Raw genomic sequence first — 18,170 nt, 5'->3', positions numbered from 1 at the left:
GTTTCCTGGCGACCCAGGTATAGAAGGGATGCAGGAGTGGCCTGTACTTTCAGAAGCACATGCAGGAGGATGCTGGTCTGGGACTGGAGATGAAAGAGGTCCAGAGAAAATGGGACACGCTCAGACAGGGGAGCTGTGGGTGGAGTTCAGGACAAAGTCTGATGTAAGGCTCATGGAAGACCTTCCTGAAGGAATTGCCCCTCTCCAGGAAGTAAGGAGGGTGGATTTGTTTCCACAGTGGGAATTCCTGGCAGGTCCAGAACTTCTTGACTTTCTGTCTCTCAATACTGTAGACCTGCAAGATGGATAACAGAGGCATTAGGGAAACTGATGCCTACGCCACAAAGTTTAAATACAGCACAAGGAAAGAAGCTACTTTGATCCAGAAAACACTGCTAACCCCATCCAAGACTGAGATGGAGCAGGGCCCTATGGGGTGAGATAAGCGTCTGAGGAGCAGGCTGCAGGGAGGAATGTTCCAGCTGCCACTGAAGCAACACACGAGGCTGAGGCTTGAAAGCTCAAAGGCCGAGGGAGCCGTAGCTTTGGGAAGGAGCAGCTGATGGGGACGATGGGTCACCTAAGCCGAGCTGTACCCTCGTCTGCTCCACCTCGAGTTTGAATTCAACAAGTCTATTGCTCCAGTGTTTTCTGAATTATCTGCATATTCAGAATTCAGCCTGCGGAGCCTCAGCTCTTCTGAATATTTAAATGACGCTCAGTTGCGATCTGCATCTCTCATCATGGTGTCTGACCCAAAGATCACAAAGCTGAAGTCTAGCAAATGACAGGAAGAACTAAGAGAAAGTGCTGCTGCAAAAAGAGTTTAATGAGAGGTAAATGGGAGGGAATGTTGGCCGGAGACCACAGAATGGAAGTGGAGAAACAGATGATTCATTCATTCATCCAATCATTCATTTATGAAGCACTCATTGACACCCCTTCTTCTTCGTGCCTTGCACTCACTGAGATCTATAACAAAGATGAGTCAGAGTCCTGTCCTGTGTGGAGCTCAAAGTCAAGATGGGGCACACACACAGATGACAATGCCATGGGACACAGGCTTCCAGTCATGGCTTCTCCAAGTTCATCCTCCCCCTGTCCCAGCCTCTTCCTTGTGCTCTACTAATACTTTGAAATGTGCATAGCTTCCCCATACCCCCTACGATGCTCCTTCTCTGTGTCTCTATATGTGTCCTTGCCAATACCATCCCGCATACCTGGCCTTTCCAACCTTCCCCGTGAGTTCCCAGAGTCCGTTGTATCATTCTTTTTTTTTTTTTTTTTTTTGAGATGGAGTTTCACTGTTGTTGCCCAGGCAGGAGTGCAGTGGCGACTGGGAGTAAGACTTCGGGCCAGTGTGTCGTCCTGGAAACCCAAGCTGGTTCCCTGCAGGAAAGGAGGCTGGACAGTGGGTCATGGCTGGACTCGGGCTGTCCTCTGAGTTAGCCAGTGGAGCAGCGGAGCTGAGGTTGAGAATAGAACCAGCCAATTTATTTCCTCTATGTGATTTCTTTCTTTTTTTTTTTTTTTTGAGACAGAGTTTCGCTCTTGTTGCCCAGGCTTGAGTGCAGTGGCACGATCTTGGCTCACTGCAACCTTTGCCTCCCGGGTTCAAGCGATTCTCCTGCCTCAGCCTCCTGAGTAGCTGGGATTACAAGTGTGTGCCACCACGCCCGGCTAATTTTGTGCTTTTAGTAGAGACAGGGTTTCACCATGTTGGCCAGGCTGGTCTCAAACTCCTGACCTCAGGTGATCCACCCGCCTCTGCCTCCCAAAATGCTAAGATTACAGGCGTGAGCCACTGCGCCTGCCTGGCCTCTTCTGTGTGATTTCTGTTTCCCTTGAGAGTATGTGTTGGATACTAGAGGGAGGGTCTGGTTAGAGCTCAGTAACAGGGGTCCTTGGGTTGTTGGCGACCAGCATCACCAGAGGTGATAATAGCTGGATCTCACTGGCCTGTGATCCTTGTGGGGTACGGAGGAGGATGGCTTCCCTCTCACCTCATCCTCAAAGTAAAGCCTTTAAAGAAAGAAGTATTGTCCCCATTTGACGAAGAAGAAACCGAGATGCAGGAGGTTTAGGTAACTTGTCCAAGGTAGAAAGCCTGGATCCAAACCCAGGTTTATCCGACGGCTCTTTTGGAGTCCTTGTTCCCCTGAGGAATGGAGGGAGAGGTGGGAGAGTGAAGATTCTCCAGGCTCAGCATGGGTTCCCAGACTACTTGGGGTATGGCCAGGTGACCTCAGAAGGCAGCAGCCGTGGGCCACGTGCATTTCTCTGGGCACTTTGGAGGAAGCAAAGGAGGTAGAGGTCAGACATGGAAGACTGGAGACCTGGCCCTTTGTCCCAGTGACCTGGTGCCATGGGAATGGACTTGGGTGGCATCATTAATGTGATGTGGGTTAGAACCACCCCCAGGAATCTGCCCCCGTCTAGGCTACCCCTAGGATGCTGCTACTAAGGCCTGACAGGGGAAGAGGATTTTTTTTTTTTTTTTTGAGACAGAGTTTTGCTCTTGTTGCCTAGGCTGGAGTGCAATGGCGCGATCTCGGCTCACCACAACCTCCGCTTGCCAGGTTCAAGCGATTCTCCTGCCTCAGCCTCCTGAGTAGCTGGGATTACAGGCATGCACCACCATGCCCAGCTAATTTTGTATTTTTAGTAGAGACGGGGTTTCTCCATGATGGTCATGGATCTCCTGACGGGGATCTCCTGACCTCAGGTGATCCGCCTGCCTCAGCCTCCCAAAGTGCTGGGATTAAAGGCAAGAGCCACCGCGCCCGGCCACAGGAAGAGGATTTCTTTTGAGATACAAGAAGCCCAGAAATTGTTTCATCCACCTTGTCTCTGAGCACCTCCTCTTTCCTGCAGGGAAACTGAGGCTCTGAGAGAGGAGTGACTTGTCCAGGGTCCTGTGATGGGAGACTGAGCAGGTAAATTGCAGGACTCCACCTCTCTGGCCCTCTGTTCAGGCCTGTGAGGTGATGAGGGAAGAAAGGGACTGTGCTGTGTGTCCTGAAAGGGAAAGATGGCCCACACTGAGGGGGTTGTGTGGGCGCTGGGTTGGTGGGAAGGATACGTTGCAGAGTGGTGTTTGCAGCATGATCCCAGCTTTGCAATCATAAGATTAAAAGCCAAACTGTAGGGGACATGTTCTCAGGATCTCCTGGAGCTATGTCATGGGGAAAACAAATAGAAAATAAATTTTAAAAAAAGTAAAAGAGAGAAAGCCAAACTGTAGACATGTGAGTGTAACTTTGAGAGTGTGAGCTTAGACCTCTGTGTTTGTCGAAGCAGAGACAAGCCAGGCTGCTACCAGTGGTTGGGGACAATTAGTTGGGGATGGAATAGAATCCCATTTCCTACTTTAGAAACTTTGCGATTGGCCGGGCGCGGTGGCTCATGGCTGTAATCCCAGCACTTCCGGAGGCCAAGGCAAGAGGACTGCTTGAGCCCAGGAGTTTGAGACCAGCCTGGGCAACAACGTGAAACCCCATCTCTACAAAAAATACAAAAAATTAGCCAGGCATTGTGGCTCGTGACTGTGGTTCCAGCTACTGGGGAAGCTGAGGTGGGAGGCTCCCTTCAACCCGAGGAGGTAGAAGCTACAGTGAGCCATGATCACACTGCTGTTCTCTAGCCTTGGTGACAGAGTGAGGACTGAGACCCTGTCAAAAGAAAGAAAGAAAGAGAGAGAGGGGGAAAAAGAAAGAGAGAGAGAGAGAGAGAAAGAGAGGAAGGAAGGAGAGAGAGGGAGGAAGGGAAGAAGGAAGGAAGAAACAAAGGAAGGAAGGAAAGAAGGGAGGGAGGGAGGGCAAGGGAGGGAGGGAAGGAAGGGGAATGGAGGGAGAGAGGGAGGGAGGGAGGGAGGAAGGAAGGAAGGAAAGGAGGGAGAGGAAGGAAGGAAAGGAGGGAGAGGAAGGAAGGAAAGGAGGGAGAGGAAGGAAGAAAAGGAGGGAGAGGAAGGAAGAAAAGGAGGGAGAGGAAGGGAGGAAAGGAGGGAGAGGAAGGAAGAAAAGGAGGGAGAGGAAGGAAGAAAAGGAGGGAGAGGAAGGAAGAAAAGGAGGGAGAGGAAGGAAGAAAAGGAGGGAGAGGAAGGAAGAAAAGGAGGGAGAGGAAGGAAGAAAAGGAGGGAGAGGAAGGAAGAAAAGGAGGGAGAGGAAGGAATGAAAGGAGGGAGAGGAAGGGAGGAAAGGAGGGAGAGGAAGGGAGGAAAGGAGGGAGAGGAAGGAAGGAAAGGAGGGAGAGGGAGGAAGGAAAGGAGGGAGAGGGAGGAAGGGAGGGAGGGAGGGAGGAAGGAAACAACTTTGGGATTTTTAAAATCACATTTTTTTTTCTTAAATCTCAGAGTGGGAATGAGACTGAGTTGGAGTGGAGTTGGCCTCCACTCTGTTTACTAAGAGCTGTGTGTCCCTAGGTAAGTCACTTTCCCTCTCTGGGCCTCAGGTTTTTTACCTGATAGATGGGCTTAGAGTCTCTTCTGCTGATCCCCCAGGGTTGCAGGCAGCCAGTGAGGTTCTGAGTACTGTAGAGGGGATGCTCTCAGCAGTAGTGGCGGTGGTAGGGAGTTGGGATTGCAAACCCAGAGGCCAGCAGAGGCCAGGCAGGAACTGGATTGAACTGGAAACTCAAGCTGTCCACTTGGGTCCAGTCAGGATGGATACTGATAGAAGTGGGGGTCTCATGTTGCCCACCTCATGTTTAAGAAGATTCTAGAATTATAGATTATTTGATGTGAAATTTCCTTAAATGTAAATGTTGGTAAATAAAGTAACTATTTAAACGATATACATGCAAACACACATTTGCACACACACGCCTTACACACAATGGCTGGTCAGATTTAGTGCATAGCCAGCCAGCTGGTTTTCTGCTTTGGAATTATAGGCTGCTAATTTTTTTATTTTTTCTAGACATGGTCTTGCTTTGTCACCCAGGCTGGAGTGCAGTGGCGTGAACACAGCTCATTGCAGCCTTGACCTCCTGAGCCCAAACAGTCCTCCCATCCCAGCCCAGCCCAGCAAATAACTGGGATGACTGGCATGTACCACCAAGACTCACTAATTGTTGTATGTTTGTAGAGACGGGGTTTCACCATGTTGCCCAGGCTGGTCTCAAACTCCAGAGCTCAGGTAATCCGCCTTCCTCGGCCTCCCAAAGTGCTGGAATTACAGGCATGAGCCACCGTGCTCTGCCTAATTGTATTTTATTATACTAAATGCAGTTTCTTTTGCCTTCTGTATCTTTTCAAACCCTGGGTGGTATTCCCCCAGCAAGAGTGAATTCTAGTTTACCTACTACCTATGCCTGTATGCTTACACTTTCACTGAATTTCTTTAAATTTTTAAATAATATTAGGAAGAAAATGGGGCTGATGAGCAGCTCTTGGGGCACTAGAGGCCTTCTGGGTAGCTGTCATGCCTTGAACGTTTCTTGAGCGTGCCTTCTCCAGCCTCCAGTGAGCACGAGGTCTGCATTGGCAAACAGATGTCCACTGTCCTGGGGACAAGAAAGGTGTGAGTCCTCCATGGCAAACAGAGAAGGAAGGAGATGTCTCCTTTCCTGAATCAGCTTATTGGGATAAACAGGAAACCCACAGAGGCTTTCTCACCAAGGCCAGCGTGTTTAATAGGCCTGCATCTCACCTCTGAGGATCACAAAGTGTGTGAGCAGCGTCCCAGCAAGGAGACACCGATGCTCATGAGGATTCTGAAACCTCTGTTCGCTGTTAGGAAATGCTCTTGACCCATGAGTGTTCCTCTTTCAAGATCCTCCAGCATTGCCAACCCGTCCAGCAAGAAGGGGAGAGATCTCATAGCACGGGGGCTTGACTAAATTTGAGGAGTCGAGGAAGTGACGTTTCAGCTAAGACTTTTTTTTTCCTTTGAGACAGGATCTCGCTCTGTTGCCCAGGCTGGAGTGCAGTGGCTCAATCCTGGCTCACAGCAACCTCTGCCTCCCGGGTACAAGCGATTCTCCTACCTCAACCTCCCCAGTAGCTGGGAGTACAGGTGCCCGCCACCACGCCCAGCTAATTTTTGTATTTTTAGTAGAGACAAAGTTCCACCATGTTGGCCAGACTGGTCTCAAACTCCTGACCTCAAGTGATGCTCCCGCCTCGGCCTCCCTAAGTGCTGGGATTACAGGCGTAAGCCATTGCGCCCTGCCTCCGCTAAGTCTTCAAGATCGGCCAAGGGATGATGAAGAAGGTTGGGGAGAAGAGCGGGGATGAGGGGAGCCCAGCTGCAGGCCGCATATTCAAAGACTTGTGGCTGGGAGGGAGGTCCGGAGAAGAACTGAGTTCTAGAATCTGAAAGACGGCTAGCATGGGTCAGAATGGAAACTAACCAGACCACAGTGTCAGCCACTCAAGCTCCCCTAGCCAAGCCTCGTGCTGAATTTTGAGGGCTGCAGTAGAAAAGCGGGCGCACTGCGAGCCCTGCGTGTTGCCAACAGCCTCGGCAGAGCCAGGAGGTGGCGCTGTCGGCACACGCATCGTGCTGTCGGCGCTGCGCAGCCGCAGCCCGGGACCTTGGAGGACAGGCGGTCGGAGCCGCTGCTGGTGACGTCAGCAGTTTTACAGAGGCACAAAGCCGGAGCAGGAAGAGTAAATGTCTGCACCAGGAAGGAGCCAGGGAGGCCAAGTTGAGAGCACTTCAGAAGAAGTGAATAGGTTCAGGAATCCAGCAGCGCCGGAGGGGTGGAGCCAGGGAAATACTACTCTGTGACAGTTTTGCTCATGAAGTGGAGTGCCAGGAAAACACAGCGTCTGGCCGGGCGCGGTGGCTTATTCCTGTAATCCCAGCACTTTGGGAGGCCTGGGCGGGCGGATCGCTTGAGGTCAGGACCAGCGTGGCCAACATGATGAAACCCCGTCTGTACTAAAAATACAGAAATTAGCCGGGCGTGGTGGTGCGCGCCTGTAATCTCAACTACTCGGGAGGCTGAAGCAGGAGAATCGCTTGAACCCGGGAGGCAAGTCAGCCGAGATTTTGCCGAGGCGCAATCAGCCCAGATCATGCCACTGCACTCCAGCCTGGGTGACAGAGCAAGACTCCGTCTCAAAAAAACAAACAGAAAAAAAACACAGCGTCCAGGCAGCTCCACCTTCCATGTTGAAAGCCTGTGACTGCCACATTCTAGCGGGACTGGCTTGTTTGCCTGCAGAACGGAATGGCCCCGGGGTCTGTCTGGGTCTGGGTCCAGATGAGAAAGGCGCCCAGCCTTCCTCTGGCCCCAGCCCTGCACATTGACCAAGGATGGATGGCCCTCCATACCAGGCACCCCGGCTCCTCCTCATTCCCCTCTGGCTTCTCCCTTCCTCCTACCGCCATGCTGATCCTCCATCCTTCTGGCTCTGGGCAGTGGTTTTCAAAAGCACTGTGGTGGTAGTCACTGGGGCTGTTGGCCACATTTGTCTGGCTTTTCCCCTTTCCAGATGCACAGTGGGATTATTCTTCCTGGTCTCCTTATGGTTGGGTGGGAATATGTAACCAGTTCTGGACAAAAGAGTTTTGAATGGAAATAATATGTGTCATTTCTAAGCCACAGCAATGAATGCTGATATAAGACCCTTTTCCTCTACTGTGGCAACCAGCAATCTTCCAGAAAGTGGTTGCTCCATGATACTGAGTCCAGGAGGGAAGACAACCGGAGCAGAGAGGCACCTGCCCCATGATGGACATGTAGCGTGAGCAAGAAGTAGCCTTTGCTGTTGTGAACCACTGAGATCGGGGGCTTGCTTTTTGGTGGTTTTTGTTTGTTTGTTTGGTTTGTTTTTTTGTTTTGTTTAGTTTTGTTTTGTTTTTTGAGACAGAGTTTCGCTCTAGTAGCCCAGGCTGGAGTGCAATGGCGCGATCTTGGCTCACTGCAAGCTCCACCTCCCAGGTTCAAGCGATTCTCCTGCCTCAGCCTCCCAACTAGCTAGGACTACAGGCATGCACCACCATGCCCGGCTAATTTTGAATTTTTAATAGAGACAGGGGTTCACCACGTTGGTCAGGCTGGTCTCAAACTCCTGACCTCAGGTGATCCGCCCGCCTCGGCCTCCCAAAGTGCTGGGATTACAGGCGTGAGCCACCGTGCCCAGCCTAGGGGCTTGTTTTTTACTGCAGCATAACCTAGACTATCCTGGCTGATATAAGCAAAGCTGCTGGAAATCAGGAAGCTGTTTGTAGAACACTATGAAAGGTACACAGCTTTAAATCCTTAGATGAACTAGAATTGTTATTAACAATGAGTATCACTTATTGACCAGGCGTGGTGGCTCACAACTGTAATCTCAGCACTTTGGGAGGCTGAGGCAGGCGGATCACCTGAGGTCAGGAGTTCAAGACCAGCCTGGCCAACATGGTGAAACCCTGTCTTTACTAAAAATATAAAAATTAGCCAGGTGTGGTGGCACACGCCTGTTATCCCAGCTACTCGGGAGGCCCAGGCAGGAGAATCATTTGAACCCAGGAGGTAGAGGTTGCAGTAAGTCGAAATCACGCCTCTGCACTCTAGCCTGGGTGACAGAGTAAGACTCGGTCTCAAAAAAATAAAATAAATAAAATAAAAAAATAAATCAATGAGTATCACTTATTGAGCACCTACTACGTGTCAGGTATTACACAAGGTATACTAGGTTTTTTGGCAAATGTTTTCTCATTAATCCCCATCCTAGCACTGGGATTTGGCAATACTGGCCTATTCGGTATGATTAGTCTGAGGCAGTGAAACTCAGGGAAACGGACTCAAGGTCATGACCATAGCCTCTAAGTGGTCTTAATATAGCCTCTAAGTCATGACCATAGCCTCTAAGTGGAATTGAGATTCAAATGTAAGGATCTCTGTCACCCAAACTCTCATTCTTTCCACTCCTAGGCTGTTATCATATAAAAAGCAGGACTAGGCATAGTAAGGGGAAAAAAAAAACAAACATTTTAAAAAGAAATTATCTCTTAACAGGAAAAACATTAACATCTGCCATTTTTCTAAATTGAATGTGAAAGATGATCCTGACAGGCTGAACAAAGATGCTTGCTCTCTGTTGTGATGTTTGACAAGGGAATCTTCCTTCATTTTCTCCTCTGATGAGCCTCTCTACCAGATAAGCAGCAGCAGGAACCAAACGTTTAAGAAAAATGTAAAGACATTATTTTGTCCATCACTTAACATTTTTATGAACAAGTTGGGAGGTAGCCTGCATGAATGCCTCTGTGCAATGGAATGAATGGCCGGAGATCTCACCATCCCAGGATGACTTTGGGGAAGGAAGACCCAAACAGCCCACTATCACATGCTGTCCTGCCTGCCTCAGGCCTCCTGTCCTTCTCTCCCTTGTGACCTGCAAACTAACCTTGAGGACTCATGTCAACTGTCACTGCATTGGAAGCCCTCTGTGATAGTTAATATTGAGTGTCAACTTGATTGGATTGAAGGATGCAAAGTATTGTTCCTGGGTGTGTCTGTGAGGGTGTGGCCAAAGGAGATTAACATTTGAATCAGTGGCCTGGGAGAGGCAGACGCACCCTCAATCTGGGTGGGCACCATCTAATCAGCTGCCAACACGGCTAGAATTAAGCAGGCAGAAGAACTTGGAAGGACTAGACTTGCTGAGTCTTCCAGCCTTCACTCCCTTCCATGGTCTTTCTCCCGTGCTGGATGCTTCCTGCCCTTGAACATCAGACTCCAAGTTCTTCAGCTTTTGGACTCTTGGACTTACACCAGTGGTTTGCCAGGGGCTCTCAGGCCTCCGGCCACAGACTAAAAGCTGCGCTGTCAGCTTCCCTACTTTTGAGGTTTTGAGACTCTGGCTGGCTTCTTTGCTAATCAGCTTGAAAACAGCCTGTTGTGGGACTTCACCTTGTGTTCGTGTGAGTCAATACTCCTTAATAAACTCCCCTGCATATATACATCTATCCTATTAGCTCTGTCTCTCTGGAGAACCCTGACTAATACAACCTCCCTTTCCTGCCAGGCTGGGCTCCTGTCTGCCTCATTCTCTTGCCCTGTTGCCCAGGCTAGAGTATAGTGGCACCATCATTGCTCACTGCAGCCTCGACCTCTCAGTCTCAAGTGATTTTCCTGCCTCAGCCTCTGCAGTAGCTAGGACTACAGGCATACGCCACCATGCCCAGCTGAATTTTTTAATTTTTTGTAGAGATGGGGTCTTGCTGGTTGGCCAGGCTGGTCTTGAACTCCTGGCCTCAATCGATCCTCCCACCTTGGTCTCCCAAAGCTCTGGGATTACAGGCATGAACCACCGTACCTGGCCTCATTCTGTTTTTTTAAATTAACATTTTTATTTGCATTTGTACAAAGTAATCCAGAGAGATCCCATGTACCCTTTACTCAGTTTCCGTTAATAGTAACATCTTGGAAAAATGCTAAATGTTGGCATATAAATTAAGCATTTAAATGTCACATATGCAAACACACAAAGATTTAATACACAACTGGCCAGTTTTCTCCTTTGGGGTTATAGGCTGCTAATTGTATTTTATTGTACCAAATGCAGCTTTAGCCTCTTCAATATCACAACCAGGATATTGGCATTGATATAATCAAGATATAGAATATTTCTATCACCACAAGAATCCCTCTTGTTGTCCTTTTATAGCCTCACCCACTTCTCTCCCACCCTGATCCCTACTTTAGCCTTGGCAATTGCTAATCTATTCTTCATGTCTATAAGTGGGTCCATTTAAGAATGTTAGATAAATGGAATCAGCTGATCCGAAGGTGCCGCGTTATCTCAATTGATTGTTCAGTCACAGCAGATAAAACTCCTTGTTCTACTCTTTCCCGCTTCTCATGACTACACTTAACAAATCTTAAAAATAAATAATTTTCCAGGCACGGTGGCTCACGCCTGTAATCCCAGCACTTTGGGAGGCCAAGGAGGGCGGATCATTTGAGGTCAGAAGTTCGAGACCAGCCCGGCCAACATGGTAAAACCCTGTCTCTACTAAAAATACAAAAATTAGCTGGGCGTGGTGGTGCACGCCTGTAGTCCCAGCTACTTGGAAAGCTGAGGCAGGAAAATCGCTTGCACCCAGGAGGCGGAGGTTACAGTGAGCCGAGATCATGCCACTGCACTCCAGCTTGGGTGACAGAGCGAGACTAGGTCTCAAAATAAATAAGTAAATGGCATCATAGAGTACGTAACTCTTGCGGATTGCCTTTTCGCAGTTGGCATAATTCTCTGGAGAGTCATTCAGGTTACTGTGTGCATCAATAGTGTTCATTCCGTGCTGTTGCTGAATTGTGTTCCATGATGTGGATGTGCCACAGTCTGCTTAACCATTCACCTGTTAAAGGCTTTGTTCATTTTTTAATCACCAGTGCCTTGTAGACAGTTACTGTACTTGCATGTAAAGTACGTCCTGAAGAGCAACATTAGCTGTGATTAGGAGTGTAGGCTCTGAAGTTTGACTCCTGGCTCCAGAACTTACTATTCATGTGGGGTTGAGCAATTTACTTAACCTCTGTCTGCCTCAGTTTTCTCATCTGTAAAGTAGGATAGCAGTAGTGCCCATCTTATAGATTTGTCATGAAAATTAACTAAATCTACATGTTATGTGTTTAACCCAAAGTCTGGCTTATGGTAAGAACTCAATTATTCTTATTAAATAATAACAATAATGAATAATAATATAATAACAATACTTAATAATAAACATTCACTGAACTGAATCGAAAACCTAATGAGAACATTCAAATTTGCAAAATGTTCAAATCAGGGGGTTGTAGCAGATTGTAAAAGGAATAATTTGGCCAAGTGTGGTGGCTCATTCCTCTAATCCCAGCACTTTGGGAGGCCAAGGAGGGTAGATCACTTGAAGTCAGGAGTTCGAGACCAGCCTGGCCAACATGGTAAAACCTTGTCTCTAGTAAAAATCAAAAACTTAACCAGGCATGGTGGTGGGCACCTGTAGTGCCAGCTACTTGGGAGGCTGAGACAGGAGAATTGCTTTTTCTAGAGCATTCACATATTACTCTCTAAATAACAAGCTTCACCAGACTCGTTGAAATAGAAGCATCTGAGGCCAGGCACGGTGACTCACGCCTGTGATCCCAGCACTTTCGGAGACTGAGGCAGGTGGATCATTTGAGGTCAGTAGTTTGAGACCAGCCTGACCAACATGGTGAAACCCTGTATCTACTAAAAATACAAAAATATTAGCCAGGTGTGGTGGCGCATGCTTGTAGCCCCAGCTACTTGGGAGGCTGAGGCAGGAGAATCGCCTGAACCCAGGAGGTGGAGGTTGCAGTGAGCCGACCGAGATCACGCTACTGCACGCCAGCCTGGGCAACAGAGTGAGACTCCCTCAGAAAAACAAACCAAAAAAAGAAATTGAAATATTTGAACAAAACTGAGTCAAACCCACTGGCAATACTGTGTCCGTTCAAAGGCAGTCTGCAGCCTCATTCTGGAACAGTGGTGATTTGATTCGCTCAACAATATTGACTGAGCTCCTAGTGTAGGTACGCCAGGCATGGGTCTAGGTGCCGGGGATGTAGTAGAGAAGGAACAGACAACCCCTGGCCCTCGTGGCAGGTAAAAGAGGAAGGCTTACTCTGTCTTACATCTGATTTAAAAGTGGTGGAAATGCCTCATGTAGAAAAAAGGAAAGTTCTGATGTTAGAAAGAGGGGGTCACCTTGAGAGAATGTGGACATGCTGTCTGCTTTATATAGATAGATAGATAGATAGATAGATAGATAGATAGATAGATAGATATAGATATAGATATAGATTGTTTGTTTTGTTTTGTTTTGTTTTTTGAGACAGAGTCTCGCTCTATCCCCCAGGCTGGAGTGCAATGGCATGATCTTGGCTCAATGCAACCTTCGCCTCCCAGGTTCAAGCGATTCTCACGCCACAGCCTCCTGAGTAGCTGGGAGGTGGCGCCCGCCACCATGCCTGGCTAATTTTTATATTTTTAGTAGAGATGGGGTTTCACCATGTTGGTCACGCTGGTCTCAAACTCCTGACCTCAGGTGATCCTCCTGCCTCGGCCTCCCAATCTGCTTTAGATTTAAAGGTAGAATTGGTTCTCATCTTCCTGACTTGACAGGTGTGGGGGTACTTGCAGGCACTTGGTGATCCACCTGGTCCTCTCCCTAACCCCCAACGTACACACTCCTTGAATCATCCTGGTATGTTGATGTGAGCCTGGACATGCTGCCCTGCAGTCACAAAGGGTATCTGGGCCCTGGGCCCTGAGCAGCTCCTACTGGAAATGCTGACTTGCAGGATCCAGCTTTGCTATTGTCCTCTCCTCTAGGGCCCGCCTCTACCTGAGCGCAGTGACTGGTCAGGGAGCTACAGTCTGGCTGAAAAGCCACGGTTCCTCCGAGAGATGCTAACTGGACCATGACCTTGGCCTCATTAGCTTGGCGCTCTCCACCTGAGCTGCCTGGACTGGGGCCAGCCAGGAAAATTAGCTCAGGCCCACAGGCCCCTGGGAGAGGCGTCAGGCAAAAATAGATCAGAAAGAGGGAGAGAATCCTTGTGCAGGAGGGCCCGCAGAGGTCATTGGCTCCGGCATTGGCCCAGCTCTACAGATGGAGGCTGAGGCCAAGGAAGGGAAGGGGCCTGGCCAAGGTCATGCCGCAGTTCGTGCAGAGCTGGGATGAGAATGAGGGTCCCCCTGCTCCCAAAGCCACGTTCTTCCCTCGCCTGTGCCTCCCATCAGGCTGTGGTCAGAGAGGGACAGAAGCAACCAATGAACAATAAGAGTCACAGATAATAAAACAATTCATCATGGGCTATGCATTGTTCCTGTTTTTTTTTGTTTTGTTTTGTTTTGTTTTGTTTTTTTGAGATGAAGTCTCTCTGTCGCCCAGGCTGGAGTACAATGACACAATCTCAGCTCACTGCAAACTCTGTCTCCCAGGTTCAAGCGATTCTCCTGCTTCAGCCTCCCGAGTAGCTGGGACTACAGGCGCATGCCACCACACTTGGCTATTTTTTGTATTTTTAGTAAAGACAGGGTTTCACCATGTTGGCCAGGCTGGTCTCGAACTCCTGACCTCAGGTAATCCACCTTCCTCGGCCTTCCAAAGTGCTGGGATTACAGGCGTGAGCCACCGTGCCTGGCCTCTGTTTTATTTTTTTTTGTTTGTTTGTTTTTAAGCATGTGAAGAAGTAAAAAATAGTCTATAACACAGAAAACTGCTTTGAATTTTTAAATAGATAAAAATAATATATTGGGAGACAGTGTCATGTAGTAGCTAAAAATAGGGACTCCAGACCTCCACTGCCTGAGTTTGAATCCCAGCTCCACCTCTTACTTGTCACATGTCTTTAAGCAAGTTACGTAACCTCTCTGTGCCTTGCTTCTCTCACCTGCAAAATGAGGCTCACAGTACAGCCTGCTGCATGGTGGTGTCAGGCAGAGCTGATCCATGAAAAAAAACACCATGCCCCAGGGCCACCGTGGAATGACACTGAATCAGTGTTGGTAGGCAATGCCAATTCCACAGAAAGGAACAAAAAGAAAAGCAAAAGCTTAGCTGCTCCACTGAGCCCTTTCCCCAAAAGTATCAGCATTAACAGCTCCCTGTGGATTCTTTTAAATATGGCATAAAAGCATCCTACTTGGCCAGGCGTGGTGGCTCACACCTGTAATCCCAGCACTTTGGGAGGCCGAGGTGGGTGGATCACCTGAGATCAGGAGTTCAAGACCAGCCTGGCCAACATGGTGAAACCTCGTCTCTACTAAAAATACAAAAACTAGCCAGATGTGGTGGCGGGCTCCTATAATCCCAGCTACTTGGGAGGCTGAGGCAGGAGAATCGCTTGAACCCAGGAGGCAGAGGTTGCAGTGAGGAGAGATGGCACCAATGCACTCCAGCCTGGGTGACAGAGCAAGACTCCATCTCAGAAAAAAAATCCTATTTTACACAGGTTCTACACGTTGCCTCATCCCATTAATAACATATCCGGGCATCTTTTCTTCCATCTGGTTCAGATGTAGCCCATTCTTTTAAATGGCTATATGATATTGCATCCTGTGGATGGGCCATAACTTTTTTTTTTTTTTTTTTTGAGACCGAGTCTCTCTCTGTCTGTCGCCCAAGTTGGAGTGCAGTGGTGCAATCTTGGCTCAATGCAACCTCCACCTCCCGGTTTCAAAGCAATTCTCCTGCCTCAGCCTCCCGAGTAGCTGGGATTACAGGCATGCACCACCACACTCAGCTAATTTTTGTATTTTTAGTAGAGACGGGGTTTCACCATCTTGGCCAAGCTGGTCTCGAACTCCTGACCTCAGGGTGATTCGCCTGTCTTGGCCTCTCAAAGTGCTGGGGTTACAGGCGTGAGCCACCGCGCCTGGATGGGCCATAATATATTTAACCAGATCCCAACATTAGACTGTCACAGTACACAGGAGTGGTTCCACGTAGCTGAAATAGACAGAGTTGCGGAAAATAAGGCCATGAAAACAGGTTATGGGAAAACTGTCATGGGCTTATCAGCTATGCAGCTACATGCAAATGATAAATTTCTTTCTTGTATTGAGAACCAACTGTTTGCCTCATCATCTCTAGGCCTCACAATACCCTGCTTGGGTAGACTGCCATTAGGATCCCATTTATAGTGAAGCCCAGAGATAAAATTAGTGACTCCCAGTTATACCACGAGTAGGGCCCGAGCTGAATACTAATCCAGGCAGTGTTGCCCAGAGCCCATGCTCTTATGCCACACGAAATTGGAAGTCTGAGCTTCCTTCTGTAGGAAGTGATGAGCCCCCTCTCTTCCCACCTTCCCTGGTCACCAGGCCCAGAGCCAGGTGGGGGCCTTGCTGAGGCTGAGCCTGGTAGTCTAGTCAATGTTAAGCTGCAGCAGGTGCAGCAGAAGGGAGACGGGGTCTCTGCTCAGACCCCAGTCATTGTCCAGCCTGTCTGTTGGCCTCCTCTGGGGAGCAGCTCAATTTACCAGCTGTCTTGAGTGTCTATGGGAATACTATGGGATCACGTGGTCACCAAGACCACACCCCTTCTTCATGGGTCTTCTATTCTTCACCAAGCCCTCTTCCCTCTCCCTGCAACCTCACCTAAGGACTGCCTCTTGCTTAGTCAAACCTACCATCTTTGTGTGTGTTGGGACATTAGCCCAACATGAGCTGGTCCATGACCCAGGGCCACCGTGGAATGGCATTGAATCAGTAATGGTAGGGAATGCCAATGCCACATGTTATGAGTTCCGCTTCTGCGGCTTGTTGCTGGAGCCCTGTGTCACAGCCTGCCCAGGGTCTGTTCCTCTAAGATGAGCCTACCTCCCAACAGGCCTGCAAATGGAGTGGGGGGTGAGTCCCCAAAGAGAAAAATAAAAAGATTCTTTCCTCACCGCATAACAAAATCAATTCCAGATGTAAATGTGAAAGGCAAAACGTTAAGACTTTTAGAGGCTGGGCGTGGTGGCTCACGCCTGTAATCCCTGCACTTTGGGAGGCCGAGATGGGCAGATCACTTGAGCTCAGGAGTTCAAGACTAGCCTGGCCAATATGGTGAAACCCCGTCTCTACTAAAAATACAATAATTAGCCAGGCGTGGTGGCGCATGCCTGTAGTCCCAGCTACTCTGGAGGCTGAGGCAGGAGAATCGCTTGAACCGAGGAGGCGGAGGTTGCAGTGAGCCAAGATCGTGCCACTGCACTCCAGCCTGGGCAACGGAGTGAGACTCTGTCTCAAAAAAAAAAAAAAAAGAAAAGACTTTTAGAAGAAAAGTACAAAATAAAGTCTCTATAGAATATCTTGGGACCAAGGAAGGTTTCCTAAGACATAAAAAGCACAAACCATTCAAGAGAATAAGATTGCTAAATCAGAGTGCATTCACTGTGCTTCTCCCATAGACAATTGTGTATCAGGCCGGGTTTGGTGGCTCACGCCTGTAATCCCAGCACTTTCGGAGGCCAAGGCAGGAGGATCACTTGAGGTCAGGAGTTTGAGACCAGCCTAGCCAACATGGTGGAACCCTGTCTCTACTTAAAAAACGAAAATTAGCTGGGCATGGTGGCACACACCTGTAATCCCAGCTACTTGGGAGGCTGAGGTATGAAAATAGCTTGAACCCAGGAGGCGTTGCAGTCAGCTGAGATAGTGCCACTGCACTCCAGCCTGGGCAATAGAGCAAGACTCTGTCTCAAAAAAAAAAAAAAAAGTGTATCAGCTAACCAACACTGCATAACCAACCATTCCAAAACTTAATGGCTTAAACAATGGTTTATATTTTCTCATGATTTTGTTGGTAGGAATTGGAGCAGGGCTCAGCTAGTGTCATTCATGCAGCTGCATTCAGCTAGAGGCTGACCTGGGCTGGGCCGGGCTGGACAGTAGGAGAAGGTGTCTCTAGGCATGTCTGGGACAGTAGTGCTGGCTGTCTGGGTTGGGGGCCTCACTCCTCCATAGGATGGTGTCTCATCCTCTGGGGCTCTCTCTCCATTCTCCAAATGACCTCTCTCTCCATCAGGATGGCCTGGACCTTCTTAGTTCAGGCAGCTAAGTCCTAAGTGGGCAGAAGTGGAAACTGCCAGATCTCTTAAGGAGTAGGCTTAGAATTGGCATTTTTGCCGCATTCAGTTGTTCAGATCAATCACATGACTGTCCTGATTGAAAGGGAGGGGGGTAGACTCTGCCTTGTGATGGGAGGAGCAGCGTGCTTAACCAGGGAGGGGACAATTGTTGGTGGCCTCTCTGCAGACTCACACCTACCCTCCCAGCCAGCTCAGGACACAGAGGAGAAGAGGGGCAGCAGAACACAGACCCGAGGAGTTACCATGAAGCCTGGATGTTCCCCGGGGGTCTCACTTCTTATAGGACGGTTATCCTTCATCTTACAAATGGGCACAAAACACCTGCATATTCACTGGGTGTCTGTGGAAGACACAATAAATTGATAAGTCATTGCCTCTGGAAAGGGAAGCTGGGGGACTAGGAAGGAGGGGAATTTTTTTTTTTAATTTTTTTTAGATGGAGTCTCTGTCACCCAGACTGGGGTGCAATGGCGCAATCTCAGCTCACTGCAACCTCTGCCTCCCAGGTTCTAGTGATTCTCCTGCCTCAGCCTCCCAAGTAGCTGGGATTACAGGCTCACACCACCATTTATTTTTCATTTTATACACTTTATTTTATTTATTTATTTTTTGAGATGGAGTTTCGCTCTTGTTGCCCAAGCTAG

General features: G+C 48.8%; 5 annotated features.

The window, feature by feature from the left end:
* Nucleotides 6,343-6,412: a silencer, noted in NCBI's record as "silent region_13661". NCBI's record gives its function as "represses an Ori minimal core promoter by ATAC-STARR-seq in GM12878 lymphoblastoid cells {active_cell/tissue: GM12878}" and the evidence as "EXISTENCE:reporter gene assay evidence [ECO:0000049][PMID:35858748]".
* Nucleotides 6,343-6,647: a biological region, named in NCBI's record as "Sharpr-MPRA regulatory region 8708".
* Nucleotides 6,353-6,647: an enhancer, noted in NCBI's record as "tiled region #8708; K562 Activating DNase unmatched - State 5:Enh". NCBI's record gives its function as "activates a minimal TATA promoter and a strong SV40 promoter by Sharpr-MPRA in K562 cells {active_cell/tissue: K562}" and the evidence as "EXISTENCE:reporter gene assay evidence [ECO:0000049][PMID:27701403]".
* Nucleotides 13,039-13,539: an enhancer, noted in NCBI's record as "H3K4me1 hESC enhancer chr22:36513157-36513657 (GRCh37/hg19 assembly coordinates)". NCBI's record gives its function as "activates a minimal SCP1, AML or CMV promoter by ChIP-STARR-seq in naive and primed H9 embryonic stem cells {active_cell/tissue: H9 hESC(naive and primed)}" and the evidence as "EXISTENCE:reporter gene assay evidence [ECO:0000049][PMID:30033119]".
* Nucleotides 13,540-14,040: an enhancer, noted in NCBI's record as "H3K4me1 hESC enhancer chr22:36512656-36513156 (GRCh37/hg19 assembly coordinates)". NCBI's record gives its function as "activates a minimal SCP1, AML or CMV promoter by ChIP-STARR-seq in primed H9 embryonic stem cells {active_cell/tissue: H9 hESC(primed)}" and the evidence as "EXISTENCE:reporter gene assay evidence [ECO:0000049][PMID:30033119]".

This window comes from Homo sapiens, chromosome 22, assembly GCF_000001405.40.
Source record: "Homo sapiens chromosome 22, GRCh38.p14 Primary Assembly".
NCBI classification, from domain to species: domain Eukaryota; kingdom Metazoa; phylum Chordata; class Mammalia; order Primates; family Hominidae; genus Homo; species Homo sapiens.
The sequence above is the reverse complement of the archived record's forward strand: the minus strand, read 5'-3'. Positions and strand labels throughout refer to the sequence as shown.